At 39.7% G+C, this 18754-nt stretch overlaps 2 long non-coding RNA genes across 2 annotated transcripts in view; one reads left to right on the top strand and one right to left on the bottom strand.

Moving 5' to 3' along the window:
• LOC105376375 (uncharacterized) overlaps positions 1–17083 on the top strand; it is a 60465-nt gene extending 43382 nt beyond the window's left edge. Inside the window, exon 3 of the long non-coding RNA XR_930599.2 lies at positions 16968–17083. This is a non-coding gene — a long non-coding RNA (uncharacterized LOC105376375). The remainder of the gene's footprint in view (positions 1–16967) is intronic.
• Positions 1826–17044, bottom strand: LOC107984197 (uncharacterized). Its single transcript, XR_001747339.1, has 3 exons — positions 16936–17044; positions 16017–16214; positions 1826–2594 (listed from the first exon to the last, which is right to left on the bottom strand). It is a non-coding gene; the product is annotated as an uncharacterized LOC107984197 (long non-coding RNA).
• Positions 17084–18754: the final 1671 nt, after the last annotated feature.

Here is an 18754-nt window from a genome sequence, read left to right as displayed (position 1 = left end):
TCTTTGGGCCCAGATTAATGGAGGTAAACCCAATTGAGGACCACTAACTCCAGTACCAGTTCCTCCTTGAATTTCCTGGGACAGGAAGCCGACTTTGACTGAGTTTAGAGGGGCTTCACTAGCTGTAAGTCAAGAGCAGCAGCTCTGGACGGCATTCTGACAATTTCATTGCCAACCCATTTTGGTTTGCAAACAGGAAGTGTAGGTGCCTTGTAGACAAAATGGTGGCAAAATAAGATATTTGCCCTCCATAAAGAGAAGAATGTTTCCAATCACTAGACTCACCATGCCCTCTGGGAAATGAACTTTTCCCTTTGTTACTCATTGATTGATTGATTGATTCATTCATTCATTCAATGCATGTTTCAGGAGAAACAAAAAGTACACAAAAATAAGTAAAACTTAATAAATACTCCTTATAACTTTATAATCTAGCAGAGTAGGACATATTAGTCTCACACTTGTATCGTGTTCTTCTTCCATAATATTTTTACGCACTATGTTGACATAACCCGTGATGGGTAACCACAGAATAGTTCAACTGTTGACACACACCTATACCCTGCTTTACTAAATAGGAGGCCATGGGGGTGATTTTCTTTAAAAACCTGTTGCACACACACAAGCACACACACAATTTGTGGAAAGATTATAAAATAGAAATCTTCATAATCTATCTAAAATATAAATGATGAAAACATTTTAGAATTGTGTTTAAGACACATTTCTATGCTACAAATTCAATGTGCCTGTACCCAGTAATAAGCACCAGATGTTTGCTCCTGGGAGACTGGATAAAAATAAGACCCATGAATGACTTTGTGACCCATTTGGGGATTGTGAAATATGCATGGTTTTTGTAGAGAGATGTAGTTAGCTAACATACCTAAATGTAAGCATGTGACTGATGGGTGGTTGGGCATGGGGATGCAAAACTAGTTTTCCAGTTGGTCTTGTTTACTGAATGATCTCATGTTCTTTTTGCCCTGTGACCTCACCATCAGCAAAACAACATATCCTAGCTGATGGCTTACACTGGGCCTGACAATGAATAGGGAGGGTTTATTTGTTAGTCTGTGTGTGTTTGGTTGTTTTTTTCCTGGATTGCTTGCATAACAACCACATCAAGTTTCCCAACAATAATTTCTGAGATATTTTCCTAATTTTACTTAAGATACTCAGATTATATTGATTGGGGTCTCTTACCTCTTTCAGAAGGTAATCTTTTCTGCAAACTATGATCACTTTAAATAACTGGTTTGTAAGGTCAACATTCTCGACACTAATAGCTTTTCTAGACACTATATTTGCAGCTTGGGTGAAATGGCCCCAGATGGAGTTGCTGGGCTGTGACCTCATGCTCCACGTGTAGGGTACCCATAATTGTGTGTTTCCATTTTATTGAAATGTCCTATATGCAAAACTACAACTCTCAATGAGACTGTGCACAAGTGAACACAGTGTAAGATGTGGCCCTTTCTTGAGGTGCTGTTCTCAAATTGAAACTGACCCAATAGTCCCATAGATAGCTTTTTTGGATAAAGATAGGAATTGCCCCTTCTGGCCTTAAAGCTTAAAACTTACATTTGTTTTATCTGAGTTCTTTCCTCAGAAGAGGACCCCCAGGCCTCTCAAAAAGTATCAAAGAACTGAAACTCACAAGATCACGGCATCCAGACAATGAGACACTAGGCTCCTCATTCATTAGGACTGCTTCCTTACCCCTCCTTAGTTACTGTTTTCCCACACATGGTTACATTTCTTCCCTGCCATATAACCCCCTAATTTTAGTCAGTCAGGGAGATGGATTTGAGACTGAGCTCCCATCTCCTTGGCTGGAGAGACTGATTAAAGCCTTCTTCCCTGGAGTACATGTTGTCTCAGTGATTGGCTTTCTGTGTCGCCAGCAGCAGGACCTCGACTGAACCCTGGTGTTTCAGTAACAAAATGTGTGCTGCAGATTTACTGCTTTGCCTATTCTGCCAGTGGGGGCATTGACTGGAGTGTTTCAGTAGGGACAACCTTGTTCAAATAGATACTCTGAAATTTTATTATCATTTTTTTGTTTACTGAACCATATAACAAATTAAAAATCGCAAAATTCTAGTGATAACATTCAATTCCACCTCTGTAAGAATTCATATAAACTTTTAGTTTTTCTTGATAAGATGTTCTCAAGTGTGTTTTATGAAGTACTAATCTCACTGGCTGCTCTATAAAAAATGGGGTTTGTGTTGAAATAAGTTGGGACATCCTCCCACCTCTGTCTTCCCCTCCCATTGGGTTCCATATGTATTAGCACAGAGCACTAAGAAGAATAAAGGAACCTGATCACATTTGCTTAATCCAAATTTTTCAACTTAACTTGCCCACATGGCTCTTTTCAACAAAACCTGTATAAAACACCATAGAGACTGGATAAACATGAAACAAACCATTGGAAATGCTGACTCAGGGAGCCTCTGTCCAGCTGAATCTTGACTTCTCCTCTTCTTGTACCACACATGTCCTATTTATGTTCTGTGTGTACTCTCTAGTTCTTCTCTATCTCACCAGACTCCAGTTCTTTTTGTCTCACGTTGGTGTGTATTTCTCTGTAAAAAGAACTTTGTCATAATATACAAAAAATGGTAAATTCTGTGACTACATTTGCAAAGTGTGCAAAGTTCAGATTTTAAATGCTGGTTCTTCATTAACTGTATTTGGAAAGTATTACTTTTCTAGTGTTTCCTGTTAAATGCAGTAGGAAGTGGTGTAATTAATTAACACAGGATATTGTCTCTCCCTTTGCATAGTAGCCCTGTAGCATTTTGCCTATTGGATGTTCTAGGTCTGTCATCTTTTCTGTTTCTCCACTATAAATCCAAGATGAAGACAAATATCCTAGTGAACAGAAATATAGTCCCACTAAACTTCCTGCTTAACAACAATACATCTGCTCGAAGAAGCTCCAGAATTTTATTGCTTCACCATTTCATTCCCAGTATGGGGTGCATCACAACATTTTACTAACAGCACTAGTTACTGTATTAAGTATGATACAAAATTTCTGTTGATTTTAGAAAGAATAAATCATCCAGGTATAATTAGACACTTTAAAAATAAAAACTTTTATTCTCTATCTCTCTCTTTCACAATTTTCTGGAATTCCTTTCCATTTTTCTTTAATGTCTTTATTTGTCCTGAAAAGGACCGGGCATTCCATTTGCATTCACATTCATCTCAATGATGTCATGTCCACTTAGGTTCTGTCACTCATGAATCCTCACCCTTGAATTCATCTCTCAGTTTCCTGATCCACTTTGTCCCCACAAAAAGCGCCTACTTAAAAATGTGATGGTATTGCATTTTGTTTGCTCATCTATCTTCTTTTAAAGGCAACAGTCAATTTTGCATTCTTAGTAGCAAGCAGTGTGTGAACTAGCAAGTATCCAATAGTGGTTAAATAAATGGCTGATTTGTCTGCAACATATAATTCTTTATAACTTATATTTTGGTAACAAACTCTTCTAGAGATCCTAATTACAAATTGCTAAAAATTCATACCAGTTAAAATAATACCTTATAAATGTGCACGTATTTTCTATCATGCTGCTCATCATGTGCATACATGTTGTCTTTCTTTATGTGTTATTTTTATTTGCTATTATATAATAGTTTTTTTGACAATGCCTTTTTAATGGTTATTTTGACTGGCTGTATCATAGTTGAGTACTATGTCATTTTTTTATTGTTCAGTCATGTAAGTATGCAACTGTAAGTATTATTGTTCAGCAAACATTTTACTTCTTAGCTATTTATAGTTTGTGAATAATAGAACTAAAATTTGAATCCAGGTGGTCTGGCTCCAGAACTCCTGCTCCGAACTGTCATCATGCACTTCATATCTAGTCTATGTTTCTTAACATGAAATCATCAAAACAAACAGGTATGACAAGCTTTTTGGACAGAACAATGGTTTCATGCATTATTTTTAGAAGCAAAACTCTATAAGCCATGACAATTTCCAGGAATAGCATTGATTCATTAAAATAACCTTTACTTATTTGTGAGTATAAAATCATGCAGTATGGTAGTTCAATTTGTATTTTTCACAGAGTCAAAAAAGTTGTGAATGTTTGTTACCTAGTCATATTTTCACTTGTGAGAATTGTTTTTATATCTTTTGAAAATATGGCATGTGGAGATTTGATTGTATTTTTTGTTTTGAAACTAAGATAAACATTAAAATTTACCTGTTGTAACATGTACACATATATTTCCTAGTTTGTGTTTTTGTTGTAACTTTGTTATTCATTTTAGTTTTAGATGTATACATTAAATTTGTAAATGTGTTTTAGCTTTACATTTTCATTTTGAACTTTTAAATTCGTTTCATTTTTAAATGTTCTGGTCTGCGTTTCTGTCAACCTCAAAGTTGGAGGCATTATTACTTCCAATCGAGACTATCTTTAGCTTTTTAATGTTTTACCCCTTCATCCACTTGGAGTTTATTTTGGTATATAAATTTGCATCTAAGTATTTTTGTTCCAACGATAGCTATGAAAAGTCTATTTATTTTGTCTTCCCAGGTGAAACTCTAAAATCTATCATATGGAATTAGTCATGGTTCCCTCCACTACCATTCACCTGAAAATATTGACATTTATCCACCTACATAATCAAGTCCTAGAACCTGAAAAAAAATCTCATTATCCCATGCCACATCTCAGGTAATAGCTAAGGATGATTGTTATTTACTTAATAAAATGTGTGGGTACCTTTTTTCTGGGCAACGTTTTCCGAATTAGCTTTCTGCTCAATATTATATTTACTTGAACTACAATACCATTGGCCTTTGTTAAATTGCATAGAAATGCATCATGTTGAACCTATTTGCAGTAACTATATGTCTTCGGAGCATACCGCAATTCCAGGAAGAAAATGTGAGAAATCTTCTCTGGAATGAGAGCCCAGGACTTGGCTGCCAGTAACTGCTGCAGGAGAAACAGCCTTCTCTCCCCTGCGTTTGTGTTTCCAGCATCCCGGCCTCCCTCCACACTCTGTTACTTCCCTGGTGGAAGAGGGAGAGGATTATCTGAGTGGGAAGTTCAGAGAGAAGAAGCTGGCAGGCATGGTTAATCCCTTCACTCCTTTCTCTGGGATTCACCTCTCTGCAAGCTGTTTCTTCTTGACTCTTGGCTTTTGTGCATTTACAATAAGACCCCAGGCTCCAGGAAGGGAGCCCGGTGGTAGCACAGACACCTATGGCTGGGAGGATGGGTCTCCTAGTTCTAGGGCTCATTGTTCAGAAGTCCCTAGTACTGCAGTCCTCAGCCATATCTTCCCCCATAGCAGTAATAAGGCTGATATTTTTATCTCCCTCTACCAAACCTCTGCATTTATCTCTTAGGTGGTTCCAAGTCTGAGTGAGTGAGTGTCACTGGTTTTCTTTAAGTCCTCACAGGAATCCAAGATCAAGAATAAATGTGTTGAAAGAAATTAAAATATTAGCATCGTATATACTTAAAGATTCAAGATTCACTTGATCTACTTAATTGAATATTAGCAAAGATAAAAGACACGTTCTCATTTTTCTTCTCTTTGAAGCCTCATATATTCATGCTTGGGGGCTCAGGAGGCTAAAACATACTGAGAATATACACATCTGTCTTCCCAAATCTCTCCTCAATTTTCACAAAACATGTTTAAAAACTATTAATCTTGTAAACAAAAAATATTTGGTTTACTCTTATATTTAGAAAACTCTAAATGTCAAGGAAGCAAAAGTTACAGGTGTGGAATGCACTACCCTTAAATTTAGGGTGAACAGGTGATGGCAGCTGCCACCTGTGGGTTGCAGGGAGTTGACTGTGTGGACTCTTGCTCATGATGGCCTGTGAGTATTCACCTAACACTATCTGATAGCAATATTTTACAGAAATTGTCAAATGCCTCTAGTTTCTTTGCAACAGTCTTAAAGTAATAAGTGGCCAGACAATAGATTATAAAATATAGGGATGCATCCCTCTCAAGTTCAGGTCAGGTATTGTCTACCCCCAGCCCTAGACTATGGGGCCCTGGAAGGTAAATTCTCCTTCTTATTATTAGCTTTGTTATCAGATTGCCTCACAGTACTTATGTATAGCTGGCAATAAATATTGCCTAAAACAACATAATTGGATAATCTGCTAATGGTAAACATGAGTCTCAATAAGAGAACAGAAAAAGTAAGACGATCTGTTGAGCTTTCTTGTGAGCTATATGGTGAATAAAGTGTTTCTAATGGTTTCGTGTCTTTTAGATTTCAGGATAAATAGGTGCATATGAATCAGCTGATTTCTGTTACTGGAGTGCAGTAGTAGTACAGATTTCCCAAGCTTTGAATCAACAAACGCAGAAGTCTCTCTAACATTAGGCCCCTTCCCACTTGTTATTTTGTTGTTCATTGCTATGGGTTACCACATCTCATTCTGGAGAAAACAAAGCAGGTTTTCCAAAGTCAGGAAATCTTACACATCTTTCCAGAGAAGACCTTATATTCGACCCCATCTCAGTTTCCTCGCCTAACGTAGGAAGCAGGAGACTTCTCCAGTGTCACAAAGCTGATCAGGCATGAAAACTGAGTCTCTTAACTCACACACTAGAGTTTTTTGTTTAGCAGTTGTGACCTGGGGTAGACGCTCACTGCATGTATTGCCTTTAAGATGCCTGCTTTTGCACAATTCACAATTGCAAAGATAGGGAACCAACCTAATCGGCGATCCACTGATGAGCGGTAACGAAAATATGGTACATACACACTATGGATACTATTCAGTTATAAAAAAAGAATGAAATGATGTCTTCTGCAGTAACTTGGAGGGAACTGGAGGCTATTTTTCTAAATGAAGTAACTTGGGAAAGGAAAACCAAACACTGCATGGGAGCTAAGCCATGGGCATGCAAGGGCATACGGGGTGGTTAATGAACATTGGAGACCCAGAAGCGTGGAGGGCGGGGGTTAGGGAGAAAAACTACATATTGGGTACAGTATATACCACTAGGGTGACAGTGGTATATGCACTAAAATTTCAGACTTTACCACTATACAATTCATCTGTGTAACCAAATGGCCCTTGTACCCCTAAAGCTATGTAAATAATAAAATAAATATTATTTTAAAAAGAAAAACAAACAAAAAAGATGTCTGCTTTCTAAAAATCTAACCTTTAAAGACTGATCTGACAACAGTTATGAAGGATGGTGCTTAGAGAGAGAAGTTCTATTTTCCTGGGCAGGTGAGACAGTTCCAAAACAACAGCTATTTTTATTTTTCTTTAAATAGAGTTGCTTTTTTTACTGAACAAGACTTGCATTTATAGTAATTTTATGGTACAATATGAATAATGGTTCTTGAAATGCTATTTTTTCCAGGACAAATGTAAGCGCCAAGGCAGTTTTTTTTCCTATTCAATAATAATTATTTCCATTACGCAGAGAAATACTCAGATAAGTGGAACGATATCAAATTATATTTAAAGAAGCTAAAAATGTCTTGTTGGTTAATAGGTAATTCTAAATCAAATAATTAATTTTTTCTTTGTATTGAACCATGCAGAATAAAATTATTCTAATTCTATTCATCAAATAATTTAGTAAACATCTTTGTGTGTCTTTTATAGTTTTATATTCACTGTGCTGTGCTAGGTGTTGGGGATACAGAGATTCAAAAATGTGCAACTAATCCAGACTGGGAAGATAATTTCCTGAAGGCAGTGATATGTGGAGGTAGCTTTAAAAATGTGTAGGAGGTGGATGGGAATATCAAGGAGGAAATTCAGCATCGGAGAAGGTGTGAACTCATCAAAAACACACTTATTTAAGGCAGCAGTTCACAGTTCCAAGTGGCTGGGGCATAAAATTCAAGGTGGCAAATGGTGAGAAAGGAGAGTGGAGGGTCCCACTGGGAACTGATAGTGACTAGAAGGCAGGACTTGGACATCTGCTAAAGATTTAGGGTTTCCATCCTGAAGGCACTGGAGACTCCTAGCATGGGGTCAGGGCTGCATGAAGCTGTGTGGCAAGAATCATGGTTTGGAAAGACCACAAAGCTAATTATGGGATGGCTGAATTAGGGGGTCGAGGCTGCGCTCATTGGTGCCAGCTAGATGCTTGATGCACGGGTGAGGCCAGAGGAAATGGAGATTGGATGGAGATGAGGGTGGTCTGGAATGGACTGAAGAAAGCAGGGTGAGCCCTTCGCAGACCACTAATCTTATATTTTTAGAATATTTTATTTTAATATAATATTTTATAATATATTATTGGCTCAGTAATCATATGTATTTTTAAGTGATGATACCAAATGAGCTATAGTCACCCTACTTGAGGTCTGTGGAAAGGTATTAGTAGTTCCCTTCATCCAAAGTATTACAGACCTCATGTTTAGGCATGTTAAAAACTACAGAATGATCATCTTATTCTTTTTATTAGAAAAACTGTGGGAAATCTATGTGTTTCTTTCCCATGTATTAATACTGTTTGATGATAAGTAAGACAGTGAGCTTTTTCATCAGTTTTTGGGTTTATTCTGGCTTGTCTTTTGTTGCTTTTTCTTCTGATTTGCTTGGTTTTGAAGAAGTTGACAATCCTGGATGTGGACACTTTCTCCTAGAGGAGCAGGAGTGCAAGGAGACGGAACTTCTCTCTCAATGTGCAGGGAGATGCATTAGCTTAACAGCCCTGCCCTCTCATATTAGTCAGAGAAGCAGAACTTATAGGATATGCTATATATGTGTGTTTATTGTGTATATATGTGTGTATATATATACTATATATTACATATATCCACCTCCTACACATTTTTAAATACTTATATATGTAATACATATATATATACATATATATTACATATATATTACATATGTATGTATATATGTAATATATGTGTGCGTGTGTGTGTGTGTAAAGAGGTTTATACATTTTAAGGAATTAGCTCATATGACTATAGAGGCTATAGAGGCTGAGAAGTTCAGAATCTACAAGGTGGGCCAGTAGACTGGAGACCCAGGAAAGCACTGAGGTTGCAGTTTGAGTCTGAAGACTGTGTGCTTGCAGAATTCCTTCTTGTTCACTCAGGGGACGATCAGCCTTTCTTTCTGTTGGATGAAGCCCACAGCATTAGGTAGGGCAATGTGCTTTACTCAAAGTCCACCAACTTTAATGTGAGTCTCATGTGAAAACGCCTTCACAGGCAAATGCAGAATGTCATTTAACCATGTACCTGGGCACCATGGCTGGGGAGTTGATGCAAAACATTTCACAACTGCAACCCTCATCTCCCCGCCCTGCCCCTTCCACCTTCAGGAAAGAAGAGGAGAGAAGTGAGAGTCCTTTCCTTTCTCCCAGGAGCTGGATGCTCACCAGGGGCTGTGCTCTGCTCTCTGTGTTACACTGTGCTTCAGAAGAGCTGGTGCTGTTTCAGGTCTCCCTGATTTATGCAATTTCAATTCCATGCTACAAAATCTGAGTGCACTGGCAAAGAGCTTTTAGAAATAAAGAAGACATCAGATTCTAGACACAAAAGAAAGAGAGGGAGGTGTTTTGGCTTGGCCAGGACATGTGGCTGCAAGCTTTGGGGACAAGAGCTATGGGTCTCCTTGGCAGTTAACTGATTGGACTGGGCCTTGCTGCATTAGGCTCTAAGTCTTGTGACCTGGGCTGCCACCCATCAGTATTGGCCAAATGAAATTTCCAATTTGGGAGGTCACTTAAGCTGATGGAGCCTTTTCCACAGGATGAGGCACCTAACTGAGATGTGCCAGGCTGCAAGAGCAGAACGCTGAGCACAGGACACCAACACTCAGCACAGGCTGGGGTGGGGACTGAGGAAAACAAGGGTGCTGGGCCCAGCAGATGCAAGTCTCACTGGGGACCTCAGCAGATACCTCCCAAATGGCTCACACAGGAAGAGCAGAGGCTAGTCCAAAGCCCGTGTGGCTCCCCACTAGTGGGCCCGTTCATGTCACAACTTAAAGATTGATCAGCTCTTCTTGATTCCCCACTTGAATAGCAATATGCATCTGCTGGATATATTTCACTTTATCTGCAATCCAAACATCAACAATAGCCTAGAAAAATTGGCTTAACCCTTAAGTTCAGGTCGGGTAGACAGTTCACTGCTATTTCCTGAATTTCTTCATATTTCCAGAGAAGTCAGAATCTCATGATCATCTCTGGCTCTGTCATAGAACCAGTAGGTGTGCATGCAGTAACAGTCCAACACTGAGACAGCAAGGACTGCAGCAAAGAACGAGTTTAATGATTTCAGGGTGGCAAGCGAGGAAATGGGAGGAGAGCCTTAAATTTGTCTTCCTAAGGTGTTCTTGGCTGGGGTTTGTGAGGGCACAGTGGAGGGCAAGGGCTCATGGGCAACATCGCCAAAGGGCCCAGGGGAGTAGAGCCACATGCCCCCCCATTCCTATGGGCATCACCCCAAGCCACAATGACAAGCACCCTTCAAAGATTCGTAAGAGGGCTGGGGCTCAGGATGATTAGAGGATCATTCCTATATGCTTGATCCCAAAACACACCCTAGCAAACCCCATCCAGGGAAGGGACTCACATTGCCATGCCCCACCAGAGATGCCATGGCCAGGAGATTGCATCAGTCACTGGGGGATGGGACACTTTGAGAGTGGGCCTTGGGGATCAGGGTGCTTGTGTATGGGCACCTGAGAGCCCATTCCAGGAGGCAGGAAGGTAGCAGGAGTGGTTACCACATGTGAGCTGAGGCTCTGAGCCCAGGACATGCTCCAGTGTCCATGGAACTGCCCTTACAAAACAAAAGTTCCAACATGAAATTATCACAAAATTCAACACAATACCTGCAGACCCTGATGCCCTAAGTGTGGGGACTTCCTGAGCACAGGGCCTGGGTGACCACACTGGCCAGTGTCCATGAGACCATCCCTTCTGGCCAAGGCCTGCTGAGGTGCAGAAATTGCTGTTGTGGATAAATGCAGAGGAAAAAAGTGACCTCATGCAGCCAGCTCTCTTCCTGGTTTTTTTATGTGGAACTACCGGCCTGCAAAAAGCACCTATTTATCTAAGCGGGTCCAGGACATAAGAGTTTCCAGTTTTACAGGAGCACCGCCTCATGGGGAGGCCTACCCCAGACCAGCCTGGCTCCGATTGGGTGTGAAGGCACTTCCATACCAGGGAGTCCACTCACCCAAGATAAGTCACATCCTCCACTAGCAGCCTTATTAAGGGTCATATTTTGGTCTCTCATCAGCCTTGCTCTTATTTTTTTTCAATTTCTCAATCAGATCAAGGGCTGAGCTTATGTTATCAACTGCGTCCCTGCAATCCCAGTAAGAATATGCTTGGTTCTTGCTGAGGCTGACCACGTGTTAAATGCTTCCAGGCCTGCAGAGAGGAAGGGGCCTAAGTAATGTCTGTTCCTCTTATCCCCATGAGCATCAGTCTCTTTAAAGCCCCTCCTCAGCAAGCTGTTCTATAGACACACGCAATACTCATAGGCAGGTTGACCAGCACTCTCTCTTTCTTCCCCTGGTACAGAGGTGCATATGCTTCCAAACTTAAAACTCCAAAGGAAAGGAAATCTTGAATTAAAAATCTGTAAAGCAAGTTCCCTTTTACTGTCTCTCAATAATGAACGAGGTGCAGAATCAATAGCAGCATAGATGTATTCAGAGGGTAATCACAAGAGTTCATTCTGCTTCTGGCCTCGGCCAAGCTGTCCAGCCTCAGAGTTTATGTTCTAATAGCATAGCCTGGCCTTCCATACCCATGCCCACACGCCTGCTCCTTGCTTTTCTGTTTTGTTTTTTGTTCATGCTATTAACTATGCCTTCCTTGCCTGGCTGATTTTTATTCATGTCCCAAAATGTAGCTCGGAGTTGACTTCCTCTAGGGAGGGTTCCTATTGCCATTAAAGTCTCTTCCTTGCATATCCTTGATGAACTATTGTGGGTACCAGGGCCATAACTTCAATTACCATACTGTTTTGGGACAATCTATTTACTCGTCTAACTTCTCTTGCTAGACTTACAGAAATGCAAACACGGAAATCATATCTGTACCTTATTTACTCTTTTAAAGCCCCACCTCCAGTTTAGAGCTTGGTGTAGAGCAGTTCCATTGAAATACTGACCTGAGGACATTTCAACTTATATTTAGTTATGTTCTCATATTTTTCTAAGAGGTTCAAAACAAAACTGATAAACATGTTTTTAAAAAATGAGTATCTGATTGTTTAGAAATGCTTTTTACAGAAAAAGACTGATCAGATTCTAACAGAAGCAAAACTGCCTTTTAAACTATTTATTTTAAAGTTCTTCTCTCCCCATGTAGCTTTTACATGGTCTCGTGAGTTATGACATCAACTTCTTCTATGACCTCCAGAAAGCCGTTTTATGCCTCAGTTACTTTGTTGGTAAAATTAGCGATGATAACTACTGCTAAGCAATATTGATAAAAGTTGTTTGATTTGAAAGTGTTATAACTGAATGCTCCCAAACAATAATTCCAAGCACATTTTTCTAAGGTTCTGATGATTGTGTTAGTGATAAAGCAGAAGGATGGGGTTTCTATTTGACAGTCTGGTATTTCCATCTCTCAAATCAAGCTAGCAGAGTTAAATGTTCTGGTCATATTTAACTCACATCTCTTTTTTCCAAATTATTCAACTATGCCATGGAAAATAATATTTGCTTTATCCTATCATTAGACAGTATGCTGACAGGCTTATAAAATGACAAGATTTTTCATTTCAGTAAACCATATTTAAATCATCATCGTATTCCTTATCTATCTACTTGGAGGTAATTTGGTTTACTGCATTAATGTGAATTTTATATTTTTTGAGTCTTCACTCAAAATTGGTCCTATCATCTATTACCCAAATAAAGACTGTACTCAGAGATAATGTAGTATTAAAGAGAAATGTCTAAGCAACACAAATAATCTAGGAAAATTGTAAAAGAAAGTTTGAGGATAATGCTAAAATTTGAGTTTTGGCCTCAACTTGAGTGCATTGTGCCACATCCTTTGCTGTTAAGTTAAAATGCACCTTTGGTCAAATCATTTCCTTTGTCTACCCCCTGCTGTCATAGTTTCAGTGCTCATGTCTATGTCGATAAATTGTGAACTGCTAGATCTGATTTCTCAGTCTATTTTTATAATCTATTTTCTTTGGATATTTCAATTTGGATATTTCAACCTTTTAAGTTCCAGTGAGCAAGAGTAGACCAAAATTCATATTTGCATTCAACATTTGGGGACTAGGTTTTTTTTTTTATTACCACAATAAATATATGCAGAGTGATTTCTATGCGCGATAAGATTATAAGAGACTGATTGAATGGGTGAACTTTCCTTTGCTTCCTCAGTTTCCCAAGGCAGTGTGAGGGAAGTTTGGTGATCCATGCAGCTGGTGCCTGTGTCAGGTAGGAGGGTCCCAGGGATGGTGGGGGCACCGACTGCCTTTCCCTCCACCAGGAGGCTAGGGGGTGTCATAGTCCACTTAGTGTTGCTATAATGGAACACCTGATAGTGAGCCATTTATAAATAAGAGAAGTTCATTTAGCTCACAGTTTTGTAGCCTGGGAAGTTCAAGAGCATGGCCCTGGCTTCTGACAAGGGCTTTCACACTGTGTCATAACCTGGAGAAGGCCAAGGGGAAGCTGACACGTTCAAACAGAGGACTGAACAAGTGAAGGAGGCTCACTTTGTAACAACCCACTGTCACGGGAATCCAGTCTCAAAAGAGCAAGAACTCACTATTGCAGGAAGGACACCAAGCCATTCATGAGCGATCCAAACCCACGACCCAAACACCTCCCACTAGTCCCCACCTCCAGCACCACCACATTCACATTGGGAATCACATTTCAACATGGAATTTGACAGGGGACAAACTCAACTATAGCAAGGAGACTTTGCAGAAGTCAAGCCTCTGCCTGGAGTTACAGATGGACCCTCTACATTCTACTGCTTACAGGATCTGAGGTCCTATAGCACACTGTACTTGGCCTGCCATGTCCTGCAGAGAAAGAGCATTATACTCAGAAATGAAGGTGTTGTCATTTCCTCAAATCCTACCTCTCCTCACTGTAATCAGTGGACCCTCCATTACCATCAAACTGTAGCCATAGTGAATTGGGGGTGTTGCTGGTTAACCTTCCCTGTTTATACCTCATCAAATCTGGCCACTTCATGAAAGTCTGTTCTCAATCACATTTCTTAAATGTACCCTTTATTATTTCAGCACATATCTGCACAATCAGTAATTTTTATGAAAAATCAGAAACTTCTATTGAAATTAGGTGGTCCTGTTCTTAATCTCCCTTCCAGTTTTTGGTGCATCCATTCTTTCAGTATCACCTTTAACCCATTAGTTGTTGACTAATCATTTGCAGTGTTTCTGCAGTTGTGTCTACAAGACTCAAACTGACCCCTTGTCCTGGTCCCAGTGTTCTTCCAATTCCCACCACTCATCTTTGACATGAATGTCGTCACCATCACAGTCGCCCCCTAGCGTCCCAGTAACAGCCTGCACTGTGGATGGCTGCTGCTGGTTCCCGGGAGCACACCTTTCTCTAGATGACTTCCTTCCTGACTCCCCGGTCCAGATGGCTCTGTCAACTTGATCTATTTTTCAGGAAATGTTATTTGATTCTTCCATCAATCTCTGGAGCACAGTGACCCTGCCTTTGTTTTACCTGCCTTGGCAAGGGGCACAGAGCAGGAAATACTATATAATTCCCTTACAATTCCAAGTAGGGCTTCTGACACAGGTAAAATTTGAGGCATAGTGCCAAAACCATTTCTAAGCAGGTTGGTGCTCAGGGTGGGATACTACCCTGCTGTGAAGTGAAGGCACAGCAGGGAAGCAGGTGTGTCGGAGGCCCATTTCTTGGTATTGTGGCTGGAGAAACCTGTCTGTGACCTTGGGCATTTGTCTCCAAGTCTATTGGGGTTTGAGACTACAGTGGGACAATCAAGACCAGACCTGACACAGGAGTAAAATCTGAAAGTCCTCCCAGTCCTGATCAAGAGTGAGGAAAAATGAGACGGCTGAGCCCACAGAGGCAGGGACTCAGGAGCTGATGTTCAGGGGGGCTCTTTAAAAGTTGCATTTTGTAAACATTGTTAACGTGCTTGCTCAATTATTAGAAGACAGTAAGCATTTGGTAAACATTGTTAACGTGCTTGCTCAATTATGAGAAGACAGTGAAATCAACATAATACAAACTGAGGCCATTTACGCGGCTAAACTTTTTTGCACGTGGCCGTTTTAATTGCTCCTGTCTTTCTAAAGCAAGAGGAAATCCCATTCATTAATTTCTGTCAATCAACAAGAAAAGGATGACATTTTTTAGCCATGTAGCAATATTTTATTGAGGAAAAATCTACCCCTTTTTGGCTCTTACTGTAATAAGTATTCACCCATTTGATCATTAAGAAATAGATTCTAAGTTCCAAGGACACAACTCTTTCAAGTCAAAGGCATTATGTCATTATTTAAATTGTAATACATGTCAGCTTTGGGTCAGAACATGTGTTTCTTACCAGTTGCCTCATGTGTCGTACAAGCCCTATTTGGGAATTGCTTTCAGGGCTTTTTCTTCAGTCAGAGGGGCAAAGGCTGTAACTCAAGGAAGAAGGTGAATTTTGTCACTAATTACTGTCATTGTTCAGAAGGCAATAAACACTTTCCTTGAACAAGGTAATAGGTGAATCCTGCTTCCTGCTCCAACCACCAGCAGAAGGGTTTCTCCCCCACCTCTGGGATCAGCTAGGATAGTGTCAGTAGTTTGCTTTTGTTTGCTTATGTATGATGTACACGTTTGTATTATTTTCTTTAGAGAACTAAGTATATCAGAAGGCAACAGCCCATAATATAAGTTAAAATTGCATGCTGCATGGCTCTACAGTGTTTTATATATTTTTTCAAATTGAGTTCATTTAATAACCAAGTTGACTGTTACATTGGCAATTCCAAGTACTCAGAAAAGACATTACTCTACCTGTTTTATGTATGGATTGACAGTCAGACGTGCTAGATGACTTGACAAGTCTCCCAGTATTCCGAGTCAGTGGCCTTTCTTCCACTCAGTCCTGTATCACCTTCTCCATGGTGGGCTAGTTGAGGAAACCCTCACCTCAGAATGCTGGAATTCCCATTTAGCTTCCTGAGAAGTAGGAAGTGAGATTCTCCAGACCATCTTTAGAGAAAAAAAGGAAATGAGGGTAAATCGATATCCAGCTTATTTTTCAGAATCCCAGAAGTATAGTATTTAATCCCTTCCCATTTTTTATATCCTGTTCTATGTGGATGTAGTTAGGAATCATATAATGATAGTGGTTAATGAATATCTAATAGTGAATTAATATTTAACATTTCAGTTAGAATGGTAGATACTTTATTTACATTTTCTTATTCAATTGAATTCTTAAGACAATTTATAGATAAGATATTCCTTTTCTTTCTAATTTCCTTTTGAGAAAACAGTATTCAGAGATGTTGAACCATGGATCAAAGTTTACACATCACTAAATAGCTAACATGGGGTTTGAACTCAAACCTTGTTTACTGGAGAGGTTTCCAAGGGACACTACAGATTGGGCCAGCCCTGGCCAACACTGATGTTTTCCTCCTCCTTAATTCCTAAACCATCTGAAAGCTCTGTTCTGTATGGCACTGTAAAAAACAATGAAGAAACTTTGAATGTGCCCTTCAATAAAGGAGATTGAAGAGATGAGTGTTCTAATTTATTTTAAATCGCTGAGCTCTTTGGAAATGGGTTATCAAAAGCAGTGTCCTTAATCTGTGATTTGGACTTATTTAATGAGATTCTAAGTAGGTCTAAGGAGAATGTTAATGTTTCCCTTCCTGGAACTTTATAGCTTTCTACTTTTTAACGTTTCTTCTACATGCTCACTAACCCTTTGTCTATTTTGATGACATTATCCCACAGTGATCGTTCAATGCAGAGCAGCTGAGGAAGACTTCTGTGTCCAGTGGTGCCACAGGCTGGGTCTTGGACCGACCGTCCCCTTGAAAACAACCGAACATGTTGGATAGAACATGAGATTACAGAAGGGTAAGGAGAAGGATGGAAAGGAAGCAGATGACAAGGGAGAAACATGTGGACAGGAAAGAGAATTGGCAAAAGTTTTGAGAAAAACAAACTCAAAAAAATTGTTTTAACATTTAAGTTCAGGTGTACACGTGCAGGTTTGTTACACAGGTAAACTTGTGCCATGGGGGTTTGTTGTACAGATTATTTCATCACCTAAGTATTAAGCCTAGTACTCATTCATTGTTTTTCCTGATCCTTTCCCTCCTCCCACCCTCCACCCTCCAATAAGCCCCAGTGTGTGCCGTTCCCCTTTATGGGTTCATGTGTCCTCAACAAATTAAATTGGCCTTACCATCAAAACAACAAACAAACAAACAAAAAACAATAAAAAAGAAAACTAAAAGCCCCTTTAACAATAAGTAATGTGGCCAGGCATGGTGGCTCACGCCTGTAATCCCAGCATTTTGGGAGGCCAAGGCGAGCGGATCACCTGAGGTCAGGAGTTCAAGGCCAGCGTGGCCAACATGGCGAAACCCCATCTCTACTAAAAATACAAAAAAATTAGCCGAGCATGGCAGTGCACCCCTTTAGTTCCAGCTGTTTTGGAGACTGAAGCAGAAGAATCGCTTGAACCCGGGAGGCAGAAGCTGCAGTGAGCCGAGATGGCACCACTGCACTCCAGCCTGGGTGACAGAGCGAGACTCCGTCTCAAAATAAATAAATAAATAAATAAATAAATAATTTAAAAAATAAAATAAAAAGACAAAAAACAAAACAAAAACAATAAATAATGTGAGCTCGGCTTTCCCAATCTCATGTCAAGACCCATATAAATCAAAAAAATCAAAAGATTCCTTAGACAAGTAATAAAGTTTTTTTCTAAAAGCATATTTAACTTATTACTGTGGGAAATTTTAAAGCTATACGAAGTAGAATATCAAGGATCATGGACCTTCATGCGTCTATGACATAACTTGGACAATGTCAACTCAGGCCCATCTGTCGTCCCCTCCTCCTCTTCTCCATCTAATGGATTATTTTGAAGAAAATTCCAGAAATCAGAGTAACTACAATCATTACTCATTTATACAGATTAGAAATCTTACAAAATAGAAGCACAACACTATTCTTACATCTAAAAACTGAATAATAATTACCAAATCACCAAATTTGTGCCTGTAATCCCAGCTACTCCGGAGGCTGAGGCAGGAGAATCACTTGAACCCAGGTGGCAGAGGTTGCAGTGAGCTGAGATTGCACCATTGTACTCCAGCCTGGGCAACAAGAGTGAAACTCCGTCTCAAAAAAAAAAAAAAAAAAAAAATCTATTCTGTCTTCATTACTGTAGCCTCTTAGTTGGTGATCAAATTTACCTAATGGTTTCAATGGTTTTTAAACCTTTCATTTTTACATACTCAGTTTTATCATTGGTAGTGATAAAACAATATTCCTTTAGTTTCTAGATCCTTTTAGACTATTTCTATGGAGACACCTGAGTAAGCTTTCCAAGCTCTTTATTGCTTATTCATCTTCACCCTGTGGTTCATGGCAAAATTTGCAGGAAATAGTTTGGTCAGTCTATATCAGAGATTGACCACAGATAAGCTTTGAAGAGCATGGCTTGCTATAGCCAGAAGACCATGCCAACTGAGCCTCACATACTGTTTATGAATCATTGTGTG

This window comes from Homo sapiens, chromosome 10 (genome assembly GCF_000001405.40).
Source record: "Homo sapiens chromosome 10, GRCh38.p14 Primary Assembly".
Classification (NCBI taxonomy): domain Eukaryota; kingdom Metazoa; phylum Chordata; class Mammalia; order Primates; family Hominidae; genus Homo; species Homo sapiens.
The sequence above is the reverse complement of the archived record's forward strand: the minus strand, read 5'-3'. Positions and strand labels throughout refer to the sequence as shown.